The sequence below is a fragment of the Homo sapiens genome, chromosome 6 (assembly GCF_000001405.40).
Source record: "Homo sapiens chromosome 6, GRCh38.p14 Primary Assembly".
NCBI classification, from domain to species: Eukaryota; Metazoa; Chordata; class Mammalia; order Primates; family Hominidae; genus Homo; species Homo sapiens.
The window spans coordinates 48,068,847-48,087,688 of record NC_000006.12 but is presented as its reverse complement, the minus strand read 5'-3'; the positions used below and the strand labels follow the sequence as shown (position 1 = coordinate 48,087,688).

The window sequence follows — 18,842 nt, the reverse complement described above, 5'->3', positions numbered from 1 at the left end:
TAATTCTGAATTTGAATCCAGGCTCTGCCATCTAGTGGTTATGAGACCTTAAGAAAGTTATTTATCCTCTTAGAGCTTCAATTAGTTTACCTAGAACCCTGTAACAATGATTACTGCCCACCTAGGACTATTTTGAAGATTAAATAAGACAATGTATGCAAGGGTCCTGTCTCTTAGTAAGGGCCCCATGAATGTAAATTAGTATAATTAACATCATTAATATTAACAGCATCATTATTACATTATAATTCCTTATTAGTAACTTATATTAGTAGACAATTTTGTTTATGAAATTTGTTATTTTATTGCTTAAAAGCATAAAGATATTAGTTATAGTCATAGAGGAAAAAACAACTACTAAATATAAGACTCAGAGTGTTGGAGCTGCTGAAAATACTGGATAGACTGAAGATACTGGATAGATCAGAAGAAACTGGACAGACCAGAGGAGAAAAAAACTGAAAGATGGTCACAAAGAGTTAACATTAAATCCATTTCACATTTTTCTGGGCTGAGGCTAGACCTGTCCTGAAACAAATGCCATGTCACATTACTGCACAGACAAAGACATAGGCATAGAAAAGAGGGGAGGATTGGTGGGTAGGTGATAGGAGTGGAATTGGCAGCAGTCTCTGTGTCTACCATGTCAGTGTTTTAAGTGCTAGGCTTCTCTAACTCTGCTGAAAGCCTACTTTGGAACAAACAGTTCCTTTATATTTAATATATAATTTTGAAAAAAATAGTAACTAAAGGCATTATTAACGTGAAAAGATTCTTATTCACCCATTTAGAAAAGAACAAGAATAACAAAAGTGGTAGGACAGATATTAACATTTGTGGGGTGATTAAAAAATACATAGCAACCATAGAGCCTCAAGGTGGAATTGTTTCATTTCTTTCTACATATTGGATGTTTTCCTTGATACACATACTCACTTTATAACTTTATAAGTCTGAGTCTTTTTCCCCCATGAAAATAAGAAAAGCTAAGGGGAAAAATGCAAACGCCACTTTTTATTTACATCATTCTACTGTCTCCTACTCATAGACACAAAATGTTTAGTTCATTTGTAAGCAGACTTGCTCTGAAAAATAAGTGAGTATATCTTCTCCTTTTTGCCTCCACAATCCCTGTTCTGCCCTGCTATTTTTCATTGATATATATTAGGGAAAAAAAAACAGAAATTGGTAATATTTCCTTGTATTTGAATTTTTTTGATTTTTTTTTTTGATGGATACTAGACTTTTATTAAAGAATATTCTTCTAGTGCAGGAGTCTGCCACCTACAGCCCAAAGGCCAGATTCAGACTGCTGCCTGTTTATTTATAAATAATGAACTAAGAATGGGGTCTTCTTCTTTAAATTGTCAAGGTAAGAATATAAGAAAAGAATAATAATTTTGTGCAAGTGAAAACTGTATGAAATGCAAGTGTTAGTGTCCATAATTAAACTTTTATTAGGACATAACGCTGCTCATTTGTTTACACATTGTCAGTGGCTGCTTTCACACCACTACATCAGAGTCGAGTATGTGACACAGACCATATTTTGCACTCTTATTGCTTTGCACTGCTCTTTGGTCCACTGTAAATCATAGTGACACAATTATAATTCTACAACATTTCGGATGCTGTGAATATTGCTGTACCACTTTTTTTTTTAATTATTGTTACAGGTCATGTCAAAACCAAAAAATATTAGACTCTGAACGTTGCAGTCTTATAGTACAATGGAGTGTGGATTCTTTCATTGTCAAATTAGATGAAAAAAAGTTTGTTTTTTAAGCAATGACACGATAGCTCAGCTAAAAGAATAAAATATTGCCATTACCAGACTAAGCACGCATCACATCCCTAACTCATAGATAAACAGCAATCTGAAAAAAATAGAAAATTGTAAATGGAATATCTTATCATGACAGAATTTCTTCAAAAAATGAAATACAAAAATGAGGCTGCAACTAAATTTCTCAGCAGCTCACTTATCAGCCAAGCAAGGAAATCCTTTTGCTGATGTTGTAGTATAAAATCATGAGTGATTGCAGCAACTAAAGAAATGCAGCTAGAGAAAGTAATTAGGACTGTCAACTTTCTGGCAAGAATAGTTTCTCAAAGAATTGAAAACACTGTGAGTATATCAATAGTCAGCTAAAAATGAAAAAGGCAAATGATCTTGAGAGGCTTTTCTTGGTTCTTGATGATCAACTCATGTTATCAATTCTAGTCAGTTGTTCCTTATTAGAGAAGTCAATGGCAAGTTTGAAGTGACTGGAAAATTAACCTCTATCAATATGCTTATATGTGAGAATGTTCTAAAAAAAGCCAAGAAAACACTAATTAAGCATGACCTGAAGTGGAATCTGCTAAGATGTGTTATAACTGATAGTGATAAAAATAAGTATGAAGCAGAAAATAACTTAATTTTTATAAATTTACAAAGCTTGTAAAAATGTAAGGTATTTAAACCCCTTGCTATGCATGTATTATTCATCAGCAGGTACTTTGCAGAAAATATTTGAATCCATTGTGTGCTATTGAACCATACCATCAACAGTAAATTTCCTTCACTCTTGCAGACTTAACTATCGGGTGACTGTGAGCTCAGGGCCCAGACTAATTTTTTTTTTTTTTAATGAGAAGTACTCTTGCTGGTTGGGTGGCTCACACCTGTAATCCCAGCACTTTGGGAGGCCGAGGCAGGGGGATAGCCTGAGCTCAGGAGTTTGTGACCAGCCTGGGCAACATGGTGAAACACCGTCTCTACTAAGATACAAAAAATCAGTCAGGTGTGGTGGCGTGCACCTGTAGTCTCAGCTACTCAGGAGGCTGAGACAGAAGAACAGCTTGAACCTGGGAGGTGGAGGTTGCAGTGAGCTGAGATCGTGCCACTGCATTCCGGCCTGAGTGACACTGGGAGACCAAGCGAGACTCTGTCTCAAAAAAAAAAAAAAAAGAAAGAAAGAAAAAAAGAAAAGTACTCTCAATCACTGTTATAAAACACTGAGCGGTTTTGAAATTAGATATTCCTGTAGAATTAAAAGTGTTTCTTAAAGAACATTAAGAAAAGCCAAATAGTGCTTATATGTGAAATGTATATTTCAGTAGTCATTTCCACAAAAACTGATATTGAGTCACAAATAATGTCAAATGTTCTATATGCATTGTGCTGCCAAACATTAGAACAATTAACTAGATGTACACTCTTCCACAAATTAGTAGTGAGCTAAACTACTCACTACTAAAATTTTCTGACCTAAAAATACAGTTACAGCAGCATTTTTGTGACTATGATGAAAGTGCAAAGGAATTTTCATATTTCAAAATCCATTTAACTGCAACTGTGGAGTTTCCATCTAACATTCAATTGGAAGTGATTAATCTGAAATGTAATCACATGTTAAAAGTCAAATATCAAGAGAAGTATCCAGTAGAATACAGAGATTCCTTTTATTTAAGATATAAACAAATCCAATTAAATCATATGCTTTGTAGATTGCTAACAGTAGTTGGCAATAGCTGTGTGAAAGAAATTTCATAGATGAAACACACAAAATTTCATTCCAGATCAACATTAAGAGATTAATATTTGCAATTAATTTTGATGGTTGAGAACGCTAAATTCGAACCCCATATAGGAGGTTTTTTTTTTAATCACTGCTATAGCAAATTACCACAGACTTAGTGGCTTACAACTCCCATTTATTATCTCACAGATATTTAGCTCAAAAGTCTGAGTATAATGTGGCTTAACTGAGTCCTCTGCTTAGAAATCTCTTGAGACGAAAATCAAGGTATTAACATAGCTGTGTTTCTTTCTGGAGACGCTGGGGACAATTCTACTTCTAAATTCATTCAGATTTTAAACAAATTTGATTTCTTGTGGTTGTATAACTGAGGCCCCCATTTCTTTGCTGACTGTCAGCCAGGGGCTAATCTTAGCTCTTAGATACTCCAGACACATTCTTTTTCATGCTTTCCATGTGGCCCTTCCACCTCTGGCAGGTTAAGTGCCTCTCATGCTTCTAATCTCTCTAACTTATTTTGCTGCATCTCTCTGACTCCAGCTTCAGAAAGTTCTCTGTCTCAAAGTGCCCACCTGAATAATTCTGGTAAATCTTCCATTTTAACCCCCATAATCCTAATTATATCTGCAATGTCCCTTTTGTTATAGAACATAGTCAAAGGCTACAAGGATTAGGATGTAGACATATATCTAGGGCCATTATTCTGCCTACCATATCCAACTAAGCAAATGTGATTACCCAAAAAGAATTCCATTCTTCTTCTTAGTAGAACTATGTTACAAAAATTATACTCTATTATTACTATTGTATTTTGTTAATTAAATTATACTCTACTATTACTATCTGTTTTGTTAAGTAAAATATATGAGAATTTGTTTTTCTCTTGTTATATAGTTACCCATATAATATTCTCTATTTTGCCTTTTAGCCCATAAGCCTAAAATATCTAGCCCTTTACAGAAAAAGCTTGCCAATACCCTATCTAGTGAAAAAGTATAAATATGTATATATGAATATATATTAAAATATATATATATGCAGACTTTCTGGAAGAAAGTTTAAAAATATTTTTCCAAAACTGAAAAAACAAAAACAAAAAATACTGTGCAAATATGCCGGTAATTATATTACTTTTTTTTCCCCTGGGTAACTATTTATATGCTTATATTTAGTAACAGTTTTATATTAAATGATGTTTATTTAGCATTATTTAAAAAGGCAGAAATATGGAACTAAGCCAAACATGTACCAATAAGATGGTTAAATAAATGAGAGTAAATCTGTTCTGCACTAAATTATATCAAAATAAATATAAATAATTATTTCGTATACCATTCGTTATATACATTTCAGTGTTTTTAATAATGTCAATTTCTTATATTTTAAGGAGAACTCTAGTTATTTTTATAAATCTAATTGACTTAATTTTGTGGGAATATAAAAGAAGTGATTAAAAACCTTTGGTTTAAAGTAGTTAATCCTGAAATCAAGCTCTGTAAATATTGTGTAGGGATATGGAGAAATCCTCAAAAAGAAAGAGCTAAAGAAAATGGCAGGGATGGCATCTTGGGAGTATAACTGAAAGTAGGAAGATGTGGATAGAAGAGTCTTATTTTTAATCACAGGGCATATGTGCTATTTGAATTATTTTGACAAAAGTATAAAAATATGGAATTATGCATTGTGTGTGTGTGTGGTTTCATCTGTTTAAGAAATATGTGATGGAGACTGTCCTATCATCAGGAAATTATTCCAGTTCACAGATCAGAAATGACTGAGGAATTGAGAGTACAGCTAATTACTAAGGTTGCTTCTTTTGACCAAATAGGCCAGAGCTTGAATAAAAGAAACATGGATTGAATGAATTTTTATAAGACCTAAGAAGAAAGTTTCATAAGCCACATTTTTTCTTTTGACTCCCCTGTTCTGATGTCTTCCTTCTTCATTCATTTCCTGACTCCTGAACTCTGCTGGCTACAGAAGAAAATCTTAAGCCAAGCTGTTTTTCCTGTGGCATATTTGACATAGGCATTGGAATATTTCCCCTGGATTCATGAATAGGCAAGGTAGGAGAAAGTCAAGAAATAGACAGTTATTCTTAAAAAGGACATATCCAAAATAGGCCAAGAACACAGAAAATTTTTCCACTCAACAGCCTGAATATCAGAATGAACAGGGCCTTTGGGTGGGCAGGCCTGATTTTAAATTTCAGTAACTCCTAAACCCTGGACCTCAGTCCTAGCACCTGTAATAATGGATAGCAATTTCTATGCCACAGTTTTCTTTAGTAATGAATTAGACAATAAATACAAAGTAAATAGCCTACTGTTTAGCATAGAGTAAACATTCAACATAGCTAAGTTTCTCTGCTGACTATCATAAATTTTTCACACACAACTATATCCTTCTTAATGCCTACAATCCTACAAATAATAGCAAAACATATCTATATACACTTATAGCTATTAAATATAGGTAAAATAATTTCACTCTCAAGCAATTATGTACTTCCTTTGATGTCAGATAAGCACTTTGAAGGCAAGAAGCACATTTAATAATTATTTTATAACTTTATATAATATGCATACTAATTCTATTAATATATTTGAATAAATATATTTGTTATTTCACTTAATCCTCACGCTAGTCTAAGAGGTGTGAGCTTTTATTATCCCACTTTACAGATGAGGAGGCTAAAGTTTAGAGTGGTTAAATAATCTGACCAAGGTAACACCACTAGAAGGTGGCAGAAGATGGATTTGAGAGATTTGAACCTAGATTTGTTTGTATCCAGAGTCTATATATCTACCATGCTGTATTGCCATTATTCCTAAAACAGAGCAGAAATGTCAGTCTTGCTGTTTTTACACTTATTTTTCAAGTGAATTCAGGAGGTATGCTGCCCGCTTTTAATGTACACATCCACATTTAATCTATCACCAAATTACATCTATTTTCACTTGTAAGTAGCTCTCAAATTTTTTCATTTCACACCATCCTTGTGCTATTACCTTCATAGGTAGGGTTTTGTACATAGGAGGGTTTTGTACATTTTGGTTATTCAGTAACTCTTTGGTGAGTGCATTGAATAAACGTGGTTTCCATGCCTCTTTATATTTTTGTACTTGCCCACCTTGCCTTTGTCTTTTGCTACTTCTGCCCCTGCATTTACACTTCAGCCATAATGAACTTTGTTTAGATCCTGAAGATCACCAAAAACAGAAACAAGTATCAGAAACATACAATGCTAAAAACAAGAAAGGTAAGCCCCAGACAATCCATTAATACCGGGAGAGCTGAGGCTGGTGGCAGGGCAGCTAGGAGGGCCAAACAAAGAGGTACTTGGGAACAAAAGGAGAATGTACACAAGGCAAACAGGAATTGAGACCCACATCATCAGCCACAAAGATCACGCCTCAAGATTGAAGTTAGCCTGTTGTGTCTTATCCTTAGTGACATTTATACTTCTTTTATCTTCCGTAGTTCTCATCCATACTTCTCTGACACTGGGAAAGCTATTCTAGAATAAATTAAGTAGCTATTATGTGATTATGTGTCAGGCATTTGCTAGAAATTAGAGTACAACTCTAGAGAGCATTAGGAATTCCCCCCAGGAAGCCTACAGTCTATGTAGGAAGTAGGCATGGATTACCTCAATACAATAGAATAAAGACTACACTAAATTTTACAGCTGCTCAGCAAAGAAGGGGCACTTTGCCAAAGATGAGGTCTCACAGAAAGACGTTTCATCACAGTTTCTATAAATGCCTATTGATTTTGCCTATGTCAACAAGATAACTAAATCCCCAGACAGTCTATATGTTTTCTGGAGATGTGTCAGTATATGTGGCATGTGAACAGTCATATAAAACTTGGATATGTACTCATTTTGTTTACATTGCTTTTTTTTAGCTAAAAGGCTGAATATTTGCCAAGGTCATAGTAGAATTCTTCACTTTGTTTGACAGGCTGAAGACTAAATTTTTGAATGTCAAACATAGTCTGAGTTTTTTATCTAACATCATTTCACTTATATTTTCTGAGGAAATTTGTTTTTTCCAGCAAGAAATCTCTATTTGAAACAAAGTCATCTGCTGATTCTGCTACACCAGCAGTTAGGCTCTTCTATTTCTTTCCTCTCAATTTCTACATCAGTCTGAAGGGCAAAAAAAAAAAAAAAAAAAAAAAAAAAAATCATCATAAGGGGCAGGGTTTTGAATTGTATAAGAGCAACTAGTTCTTTCCTATAATAATCCCAAATTGGCTATAAATTCTACCCAAATCTCTTCACCAATATACTATAATATTGAATGGGAAGTTATTCAGAAATCACAGTTTCAGCTCCTAGGAGCAGTGGTATATGAAGGGTTGCCATGGAGGTGGAGAGGTGGAAGCACTCCACCCCAGGTATAGGCAATAATAGCACTGGCTGTAGGAAATTTAAAGAAATAATAAAATAGACTAAACACTGGTCTGCTTTTTATTGTCACAAGGTATTTTCATTCTAAACAATGTCAGGGGTCAAACACTCCGCCCTACTAGATTAGAACACTCTCTCTGTGCCAAACCCTCCCTACAAAGTCCCCTTCTCACTGCCTTTTTCTCCTCTGCCCTACTTGGCCAGGGATGCTGTTACCAGAAGTAGGGAATACTGTACTCTTCTATTGTTGTTTTCTTTACAGTGATATGAATGTTGATATTTGATAATGTAATGATAAATACAGAGCCCATTAAGTGGCAACATCCCAGTTGGTTTCCCATTAGATGCCTCTTTAATGGTGAGTGTGATGCCCACTTTTGCTCAAGAAAAGGCTTCATAAAATTCTTTAATTTGTCAAACTCTGATGGGAGAATTGTCAGGGAACGGGATTCATTTTCATGGTTACGACTATGCAAGGTAATTAATGAGAAACTCATCCTTAATAAGCAGGTTTCTCTCTGGGTACAGTAACATCACCAAAACCTCAGTTTGGTAACCAACAACCCAATTTGAATGTAAGCATACACTTTTGGGAAAATATGCAATTTCTTTTTTTTTTTTTTTTTTGTGATGGAATTTCGCTCTGTTGCCCAGGCTGGAGTGCAGTGGCGCGATCTCGACTCACTGCAAGCTCCGCCTCCCGGGTTCACGCCATTCTCCTGCCTCAGCCTCCCAGTAGCTGGGACTACAGGCGCCCGGCACCACGCCCGGCTAATTTTTTGTATTTTTTAGTAGAGACGGGGTTTCACCGTGTTAGCCACGATGGTCTCGATATCCTAACCTCGTGATCCGCCCGCCTCCGCCTCCCAAAGTGCTGGCATTACAGGCATGAGCCACCGCGCCCGGCCAAAATATGCAATTTCATAACAAACATTAAGAGAGAAATATATTCTGGTTCTTCCAGAAGAAAGAGATACATTTTTAGAGTACTTTGAAGAAGGCCTTGTTAAAAACATTTCAGAAAAAAAAGAGTTTCTGCTGAGAGAAAGGTAAAAAAGGAAGAAGAAAATGAAAAAAGGAAGGAAGAAAAAAATGTAGAAAATCCTTCAGTTATGTTATAGATTAAAACTGACCAACTTATATTACTATTGGATTTAAGAAGAGAATAAATCTAAAAATGCTTTTAAAAATTTGTTGTACTTCTTCCCAAATTAGAAAATGTTTATTTAAATGACTAAAAATTGAATGTGCACAAAGCAGCATGTCATCTTTGTGCATTGATCCAATAAGACTCTGCACCATACTATAATTTGGCAGGCAGTATTTAATCTTCAGTCCAGCTATTCCTCTGTGGCCACAATATTCCAAGTATTTTTACAGTTTCCATCTTTTTCCAGACCAATGCCAAAGCTTGTGTTCTTGAGTGGTGGGCCACTCCCAATCTTCAATGGCTCTCTGTTTGGTATTGTGCAAATACATGAATCACCAGGGAAGACAGACTGAGACTTGAGTAGGGAATCAGAGGCTGCTCTTTTTTAAGATGTGGCAAACCTAGCAAAGGAATCCCAGGAAATCAAAGTCTAGAATATCATAAAATCACAGCTGGAGAAAATTTAATCATCACCTAGTTAAATTCTATTACAGGCACACTTCATATTATTGCACTTCACTTTATTGTGCTTTGCAGATATTGTGTTTTTTTTCTCCTACAAACCTTCAATTTGTAGGAACCCTGCATTGAACGAGTTTATTGGTGTCACTTTTTTAACAGCATGTGCTCACTTTGTGTCTAGATATCACATTTCAAACTTTTAAATTAATATTATATCTGTTAAGATGATCTGTGATCAGTGGTCTTTGATGGTACTATTGTAATTGTTTTGGGGTGCCTTAAACTGCACCCATACAAGATTGCAAACTTAAATTACTGTGTGTGTTCTGAATGCTCCACCAACCAGCAGCTCCTTCATCTCTCTCTCTCTCATCAAGTCTGCCTATTCCCCTGAGATACAACAATATTGAAATTAGGCCAATTAATAACCCTAAATGGCCTCTAAGTATTCAAGAATGTGAAAGGAAGAGTTGAACATTTCTCACTTTAAATCAAAAGCTAGAAATGATTAAGCTTAGTTTGAAAGGCATGTCAAAAGTTGAGACAGTCTGGAAGCTAGGCTGAGAGAAGTAAAGATGCTTCAGATAAAAACCTTGAAGCTAGCAGAGGTTGTTTCATGAGGTTGAAGGAAAGAAGTCATCTCCACAAAAATGCAAAGTGAATCAGCAAGTGCTAATAAAAAAGCTGTAGTAAGTTATCCAAAGATCTACCTAAGATAATGAATGCAAGTGGATACACTAAACAACAACTTTTCAATGTAGACAAAGCAGCTTTATACTAGAAGAAGATGCCATGTAAGCTAGAGAGGAGAAGTCAATGTCCTGCTTCAAAGGACAGGCGGACTCTCTTATAAGGAGCAGATATGTCTGGTGCCACATTGATCATTCCCAAAATCCTAGGGCCCTTAAGAATTATGCTAAATCTATTCCACCTGTGCTAAACAAATGAAACAACAAAGCCTGGATAAGAGCACATCTGTTTACAGTACACTTTACTGAATATTTTAAGTCAGCTGTTGAGACCTATCACTTAGAAAAAGAGTCCTTTCAAAATATTACTGCTCACTTGTTAAAGCAGACTAAATATGGCCTGAGTAGGGCTACATACTTCTATATTTGAGTCCTTGTGGATGAACTGTAACCTAGCTTAATAGTCAGACAAAATTGAAAACCTAACTTAATAGTATGCGCCCATAACAATAGCTGAGCGTTGGGCAATCCCAGCAGCCATACTTCAACCACTCATAGACTGCTGAGTGTTAAAACTGCACTCAAATAAGGCTAACGCAGAGCTGTAGCAAATCTTGCTGTTTCTGTACATAACTTTACCTTTTTTCTCCATAAATTCATTCCGAGCACAAGGCATCCCTGGAATATCTGTGAATCTGCCGTGATTCTGAGGGCAGCCTAATTCATGAATCATTAATTGCTCAATTAAACTCCTTTACATTTAATTTGGAGTAAGTTTTTCTTTTATCACATTGAAAATGCACCTGGTTACCCACCAGCTCTGATGGAGTCATACAAGAAGATGGTCATTGTTTTCATGCCTGCTAATACATCATCCATTCTTCAGTCCAGGAATCAAGAAGTAATTTCAACCCTCAAGTCTTATTATTTAAGAAATAAATTTTGTAAGGCCCTTAGCTGCCATAGATACTGATTCCTCTGATGAATCTGGGCAAAGTAAACTGAAAACCTTCTGAAAAGAATTCACCATTCTGGATGCCATTAGAACATTTATGATTTATGACAGAAGGGCAAAATATCATCATCAATAGGAGTTTGGAGGAAGTTGATTCCAACCCTTATGGATAACTTTGAGGAATTTAAGACTTCAGTGGAGAAAGCAACAGCAGATGTGGTAGAAATAGCAAAATAGTTAGAATTAGAAGTGAAGTCTGAAGATGAGACTGAATTGCTGCAATTTCAAAATAAAATTTTAATGGATGAAGAGTTGTTTCCTATAGATGAGCAAAGAAAGTGGTTTATTGAGATGGCATCTACTGGTGAAAGTGCTGTGAATATAGTTGAAGTGACAACAAAATACTTAGAACATTACATAAATTTAGTTGATAAAGTAGCACAGGGTTTGAGAGGAATGACTCCAATCTTGAAAGAAGTTCCGCAGTGGGTGAAATGCGATCAAACAACATTTCATGCTACAGAGAAATCTTTCATGAAAGGAAAAGTCAAGAGATGTGGCAAACGTCATTGTTGTCTTATTTTAAGAAATTTCCACAACCACTCTAACCTTCAGCAACCATCACCCTGAGCAGTCAGCTGCCATCAACATCAAGGCACGACCTTCCACCAGCAAAAAGATTACAACTTGCTGAAATATTAAATGACCATTAGCATTTTCAGCAATAAAGGATTTCTTAATTAAGCTATGTACATTTTTAGATGTAATGCTATTGACAACTAACAGGCTATGGTATGGCATAAAGATAATTTTTATATGCACTGGGAAACCAAAAAATTTGTGTGACTTGCTTTATTGCAATAGTTGCTTTATTGTGATGGTCTGGAAATGAACCTGCAATTTTTCTGAGATACAAAATATTAACTGTACTTTGTTTTGGTTTGTACATATGAATCTAAGGTTTATTGACATGGAATGATTTGACCAAGGTGATATAGTGGTTAAGCAGTTAAGTGATTAAACTAACTAGTACAAAAAAAAAAAAAAAACCCACAAAACTTGATTGTCTGAAATCTTCTCCAGAACTTTAACTACTTTCCACCATAGAAAAATACTACCTCTGGGGAAAATTCCATACTTATGATTCATTTATAAATGGGACAAAAGTGAGTGTCTACAGGCTTTCTTTTTACACTGTTAAACATATAGTTGGATATTTTACCATTAGAATAAGAATGGTGTTTATCATAGGCTTTAAGCAAACAACATGCAACAACATAACAAGACTGAACCCATGAGTCATCTTTGATGTACCCTCTTAAATAGGATGAATTTTAGGTCATCAATTAATGCAAATTCTATCTAAACTTCTTATTACTTTAAGAAAAGATGCTTGCATGGACTCCTTACATCACTGAGTTTCATCTCAAAGATATAGTGAATAGAGATAGAAGATTTTCCAGGTGAATAATATATATGCTTATATTCTATTTAAATAAAGATAATTTAAATAAAGATATGCTTATATCCTATTTAAATAAAGATAATTTTTAAAAATATCAGATATTATTGGGCTTCCTTCCTGTACCATTATAAAGCTTTTTAACATAAATGAATTAAAAATCAGTAAGTCAATTCATTTGAACAGATTACAGTTCTATTTTCCATTTAGAAAGCAGTCTCCAGAAGCAAATTTGCTTCATACAGAAAAACTCAGCATCAAGGTTAGTGTTAGCTGCCCAAGACCCAAACATCCCCAACATCTTATCATGCTTCTTCCTAAAGAAACTGGTTTAAAACAAAACAAAACAAAACAAAACAAACTCTGCATAAACTCCCCCGTGACAATGTGCTCAGAGAGGAGGCTGGCCCCATTCCCAGCACCAGTGTGAGTCCAGATTGGCTTCAGCCAATTACCACATTATCATTCCTCTCACCAGTGATTGATTTAGACATGGGCATGGGAAATGAGACTTAAGAGGAAATCTACTGGAGGCCTTCTGGGAAAAGCTTCTTCACTCTTACAAGACACAATTGCTGAGGCAGCTTCTTCCTTGGGATCTTGTCTGTCTGCGTGTGTTGCCTGTGGAGCAAGCATGAGCACAGAGCTCAAGCTGTGGGCATGGGCAAGGCCGAGAGGAAAATGACCTGGGTTCTTAATTACACTCTTGAGTCTCTAAATTAACCAGCTCTATAACTACTGTTCTTGTGGACATCTTGTTATGTGAGATAAGAAATGTCCTTATTATTCAAGCCAGTTACAGCTGCAGACAACCAAAATGCTAAAGACCAAAATTGCCTCTAAAATGTAAAACGTTATATCTCGGATACGCCCTTCTGCATACAAGAGGCCTGAGCCAAGCGATGAGGCTAATCCCTGGCAAACTCCTTAAACCCGTCACAGAAGAAGGTCAAAGAGCATCTTCTTAAAACCCACAAGCCAGCATTCCTTGAGATGGCAGTGGCAGAAAAAGTCTGATGTAAAATGACAAAAGGGGGTCAGATGATAGCCCTGAACTTATAATCAGGACTGAAGGTGAACAGGGCAAAGAATCCAGAAAGAGGGTGAGTTTGCTGCCTGATCATCAAGCTCATCTGCTCTTCTCCCTTGGCACAAAGTTAAACTGCATTTTTTTCAGCCTCCCTGGAGGTTAAGTGCAAATCAGAGAGATGCATGAAAAAGTGATGTTTCTCATGCATTTCAGAAGAAACCATCAAAACCTCCCAGGTGTGCTTCTTCCGGCTCTTTTCCCATTTGCAACTCTGCAACTCATAGGCTAGGAAATGACCTCAGGAAGGACTTTGAAGTCATCAGCGGAAGGTGGATGAATGACTTTGTGGAATCCAGGCCTGAGCTTGATTCCTTTCCTGGATGACCAGAAATATCCACAAGGGACTGCTAACCTTGAACAAGATAAAACTTTGTTTTATTCCACTGAGCTTTGGAGGCTTAGCATGTTAGAATGGTTAGAATTGGTAGTATTAGAGCATAAATTAATGTGGCAAACTTACTGAGTTTTTGTGAATACTGCTATGAGTGAATTGAGCAAGTGAATAAATGTAATCTATATTTATGAACAAACAGGACCAAATAATTAGGTGTCTTATTTAAAACATCTAGGAAGTAAATTATGGAATTGGCCTAGAACTCAGCTATTCTGTGTCCAAGTCCAGTTTTCTCTGGTGTCTCATCCTGCAAAAGTACAAGCTAATAAGTCCCAACTTGATTCTAAGTCTTGAAAACTCATACTGACAAAGATATATCAGAAAACATGAATTCTGTTTGAACTAAAGAACCAATTAATGTGTTGTTACTAATTGGTCCCTAAATGCACCACTTTCAGCTTTATATTAAGCCCTATTTTAAATCAGATTTGCAATAATTACCATGTGATTGATATCCACTGATGTTTTAGTGAAAATTAACCTTCTGTGGGCTAATCTGGAATATTGCTAACATTTCCCTTCTTTTTATCATATAACTTATCTTTCTAATGAATCCCTAATAGTATTTGGCATTGACTTTTAACAGTATAAAAATTGAGCAACCATGCTTTTCTTCCTTATTTTAAATTATTTTTCTTATTAAAAATATATATTTTTGTTATAGAAAAACAATTTTTAAATCACTGATAGACCCAGACTTTTCACTGTAGAAATGGGAGGTTGCAGGAAAACAAGGGAAAGGGGCTACAATAATCTATGTAGCAATAGATGAGAGTTGGAGTCATAAATATAAACTCATAGTTGGCTTAATATAGATGCAGATAGTTATATAAAAACCATTACAGATACACAACACACACACACAGATATAGATAAGTATACATCCATGTAATGTCATTGCTCTGTCAGGGATTAGAAGCAATGATAACTCAGTAACAACCAGCATATCTGGCACCCAGATCTTTGTTTGTAGTACCATTCTCCAATAAAACAAAGGCTGCTTGGAGAAGTGGCTGATTCTAGGACTGGGATAGGACAGATACACAAGATGAGCCTGCAGCATTTTGTAGTACCAGGAAGTAGTAATACTCCTAGAAAAGAAGAAAATACCCCACAGTAATGGAATATCACAGAGACACAGGAGGCAACTGAAAGAATTCCTTTCAGTGGCCAAAGCTGGAAAAATTTAAGCAAGAAAGTATTTTCAAATTATAGCCCAAAGTAGAAAAGAAATATCCAGAAATATCCATGAGTCCATGCCAATATAAATAAAAGACTGGCTGGATGAATGAATGAATAAATAGAGAAAATAGACAAATATCTTGTGCACAAGATTTGCAAATTACGGACTCCAACCTTAAGGAGGAAGGAGGTAGAGCCTAACTCTCCACTCCTTAAGTGTAAGCTGCACATAGTGACTTCTGTCCAAAAAAACACAGTACAGAGGATAGTAAAAAGATTAACTTTACAGTGGAGAAACCTGAAAAATGCCACTTCAGTTGAGTGATCAAGGTTCACATCAACAGTGATAAGTCACTTTGAAAGAATGCACCCTCGATATTATGTGATGAAAATGGCACTTTACCTTTCTGTTCTTCGTCCCAAAAATCTCCTAGCCCCAGACTAATCATGAGAAAAACATCAGACAATTCCCAATTGAGGAATATTCCACCAAATATCTGACCAATACTTCTCAAAACTGTCAAGCTCATCAAAAGCAGGGAAAGCCTGAGAAACTGTCATAGCCTAAAGGGTCTTAAAGAGACAAGACAATGAAAAGCAATGTGGTATCCAGGATAGGATCCTGGAACAGAAAAATAACATGAGGTAAAAAGTAAGGAAAAGTAAATAAAGTATGAACTCATAATAATAATGTATTAATATTGATTCTTTAATTTCAAAAATTTACCAAACTAATGTAAGATATTAATAATAGGAGAAACTGAGCATAGGTTATAAGGAAATGTTCTACACTATCTGCCAATTTCCTTTCATTTAAAGCTATTCTAAAATTAGCAAATGCATTATTTTATAAGTTCACCCACAATCCCATCATCTAGCAATAAACGGAAACATTCTAATGCATCTTTCATCTTTTTTCTATGTGTATATTTTTTATTTTGCAAAATGGTTTCATATTGCACCTAATTCTTCAGTTAACATTCAGTGAATGTATTTCCATGCCATTATAATTCTACAACATGATTTACATTTATGTCAGAGTGGTTCATCTCAGGTATATACCATACATTATTTAGTCAATTATACATTGGTATCTTTATTCTTCCCTAATTCTATTAAATTTATTGAAGAAGGAAGTGTGGGAAATGAAGCGAATAAGAAAAAAGACAATAACACTGACATATTTGTTTGTTGTGAGAAGAGAGTACGCTGCCTGATGCTACCGAAGGAAATGAAATGGGCTGAGAAGCAAGATAGCCAGAGACCAGTCTCAGCTTTACAGAGAACTCTGAGGGTGGCCTTGAAGTCACTTAATCTCTGTCATTTCTAGTGTCCTTACTTATAAAATGGACTTGATAAGTTATGCAACAATGTCCATTTCTAAAATCTATTACTGCATATTTTGCATAAAGGCTATTAAAAAATTTAACGTAGAGGATATAGCCAAGTATATTTAATGTAATAACGAAGGTATAGAAAATGGACGATAGATACATTTCCTCTCTGCTGTATAGCCAAAACTTTCCCATCATGTGTCACTAATGGAATACATTATATAAAGTGAGAAAAAGATCTGACAGTGGCATGCAAAAGTGACTCCACTGAAGGAGAGGAAAGACTAGTCTATGAATGTGGCAAAGAGATTGAGTTTGACTGAATACAAGAAAAGGCAGTGTAACAATAGAATGGGCTTCCTAGAAAAATTTGTGAATTTGGGAATGTTGTAGCATGGGCCAGATGGAGAACTACCAGAGATAATATAGAAGCTATTCCTGCACTCAGTAGAAATTCAAACAGAATGGCCGCCAAGGTCACTTTCAATTTAGAAAGGGCGGAATTTTTATTTAATCTTATATATGACACCTTCTTCTAGACACTTTTCCTTAAGCATTGTCGCTGTTTCTGAGCTCTCTGCTGTGTCATTGGTCTCTTAACTGAAGAATCAATTCCAGTAGAAAAAAATAAAAGGTATATATTATGACAAGGAGTCCTTTAGCTTGTTTGTATGCATAGATGGTTCCCTTTCTAAGTATCTAATTAAAAATGGGCACTTTCACTGTTATTAAGAAATTGTGCACAGAACATCTCTTGAAACTCAATCTTTTCTATGAAGTCATTCCAAAAAGAACAGAAACTTTGGAAAGCAAATCTCCAGTTCACAATCACACTTTAGAGTTTGCCCTAAAAAATTCATATATATATATACACACACACACACACACACACACACACACACAAACACACACTTATTAATATTAGTTTTTGAAGTTGACCTGATCTGAAGCTGAGATCCTCATCTTCACACTTTTGGGTGCTGAAGGAGGAATTGTATCTGGTGGGGGTTTTCTTTCTTATACAGTGAAGGAGGTTCACTGTTTTTTACAAGTGACTCCAATAGGTTTCCCTCTACCCACCCGACTCTCTTTTTTTTCAGGCAAAACTACCTGGTGTGTCTGGAAGTGTCTGTTTCTGGAATTCCACTCACAGGGGAAAATTAGCCTGAACCAGATGGCTTGAAACAGTCCTCATGGGTGAGGGGTGGAAGGAGACACTGGAAAAGGGGACTGAAATCAGCTTTAGGAACTTTCTGTCCTTTAATCTCAAGAATACAGAAAGTGAATGTAACATGTTATGAGAAACCTCATATTGCCTGTAGATCTTCACTTTCAATACACACACACGCACACGCACACGCACACAGGCTACTGCTATTGGCAAATGCCTCCTCTCCAGCCATCAGAGGAAAGAAGCTATCCAGACGGTCCCAACGCACCAGGGATAGATGGAGTCTCCGCAGCCCTCAGCTGCAGCGGACTGGTCTGTGGAATCACAGCGAGGAAGGTGTTGCGAGGAAATCCCTTGCATGCTGTGTGGTGTGTTAAAAATGCAGCATCATCCTCTCTGCTCCTTTTCTTCGCTGAAAAGCAGAATTCGAGGGCACAGGGAAACTGGAGGGGCGAGAAGGCTGTCTCCTGGAGCCCTGGGGCTGTCTCCCTCCATGCCCCACTCCTTGGGCTCTAATTGCCCTTGCTCCAATGGGCCAGCAGCACCTTCACCATTTATTTCCTCTTCAATTCACTCCAGCGGGGAGGGAAGAGGGAACACAAAACTCTAAAAATAACTGTCAGCATCTTAAAAAAAGAAAAAAGCTTATCTGCCCCCCCACCCCCAACGTGCTCCCGCCCTTCTCCCTCCTCTCCCCCCCTCAGCCCCCCCCCCCTTTATGGGGCACATGTCTGCTTCTTACAACACCGAGGCACATGGTTCCAGTTAGGCACCGAACCCCACCAAGACAGAGAGGAAATCCACATCTGTGGGACGCTCCACACGGAACCACCTCCAGCGAGGGAGGCCAGGGGACTGCAGCACCGAGATGAAGGGCTAGACCGAGGGAACGCTGCTCATGCGGTGAGAGCCAGCGCGGGAGGCGGCGAGGGCGCGGGGAGACCGGGGAGGGGGTGGGCCCCGCGGCGCCCGCCGCCCGCCCCCACGCGCGCTGTCGGTATTTGCCCGC

At 36.7% G+C, this 18,842-nt stretch overlaps 1 protein-coding gene across 5 annotated transcripts in view; it reads left to right on the top strand.

Moving 5' to 3' along the window:
* Window positions 1-18,842, top strand: part of PTCHD4 (patched domain containing 4) — a 254,525-nt gene that overhangs the window by 23,509 nt on the left and 212,174 nt on the right. For 2 of the 5 annotated variants that reach the window (NM_001384253.1, NM_001410910.1), the window contains exon 2: window positions 17,763-18,736. The exons of 2 other annotated variants lie outside the window; for them this stretch is intronic. In NM_001384253.1, coding sequence (NP_001371182.1) covers window positions 18,732-18,736 — 5 coding nt within the window. In that variant the 5' untranslated portion in view covers window positions 17,763-18,731. Of the gene's footprint in view, window positions 1-17,762; window positions 18,737-18,842 lie in introns of those variants that run through there. One more of the 5 variants, XM_017010892.2, reaches the window with a different exon arrangement.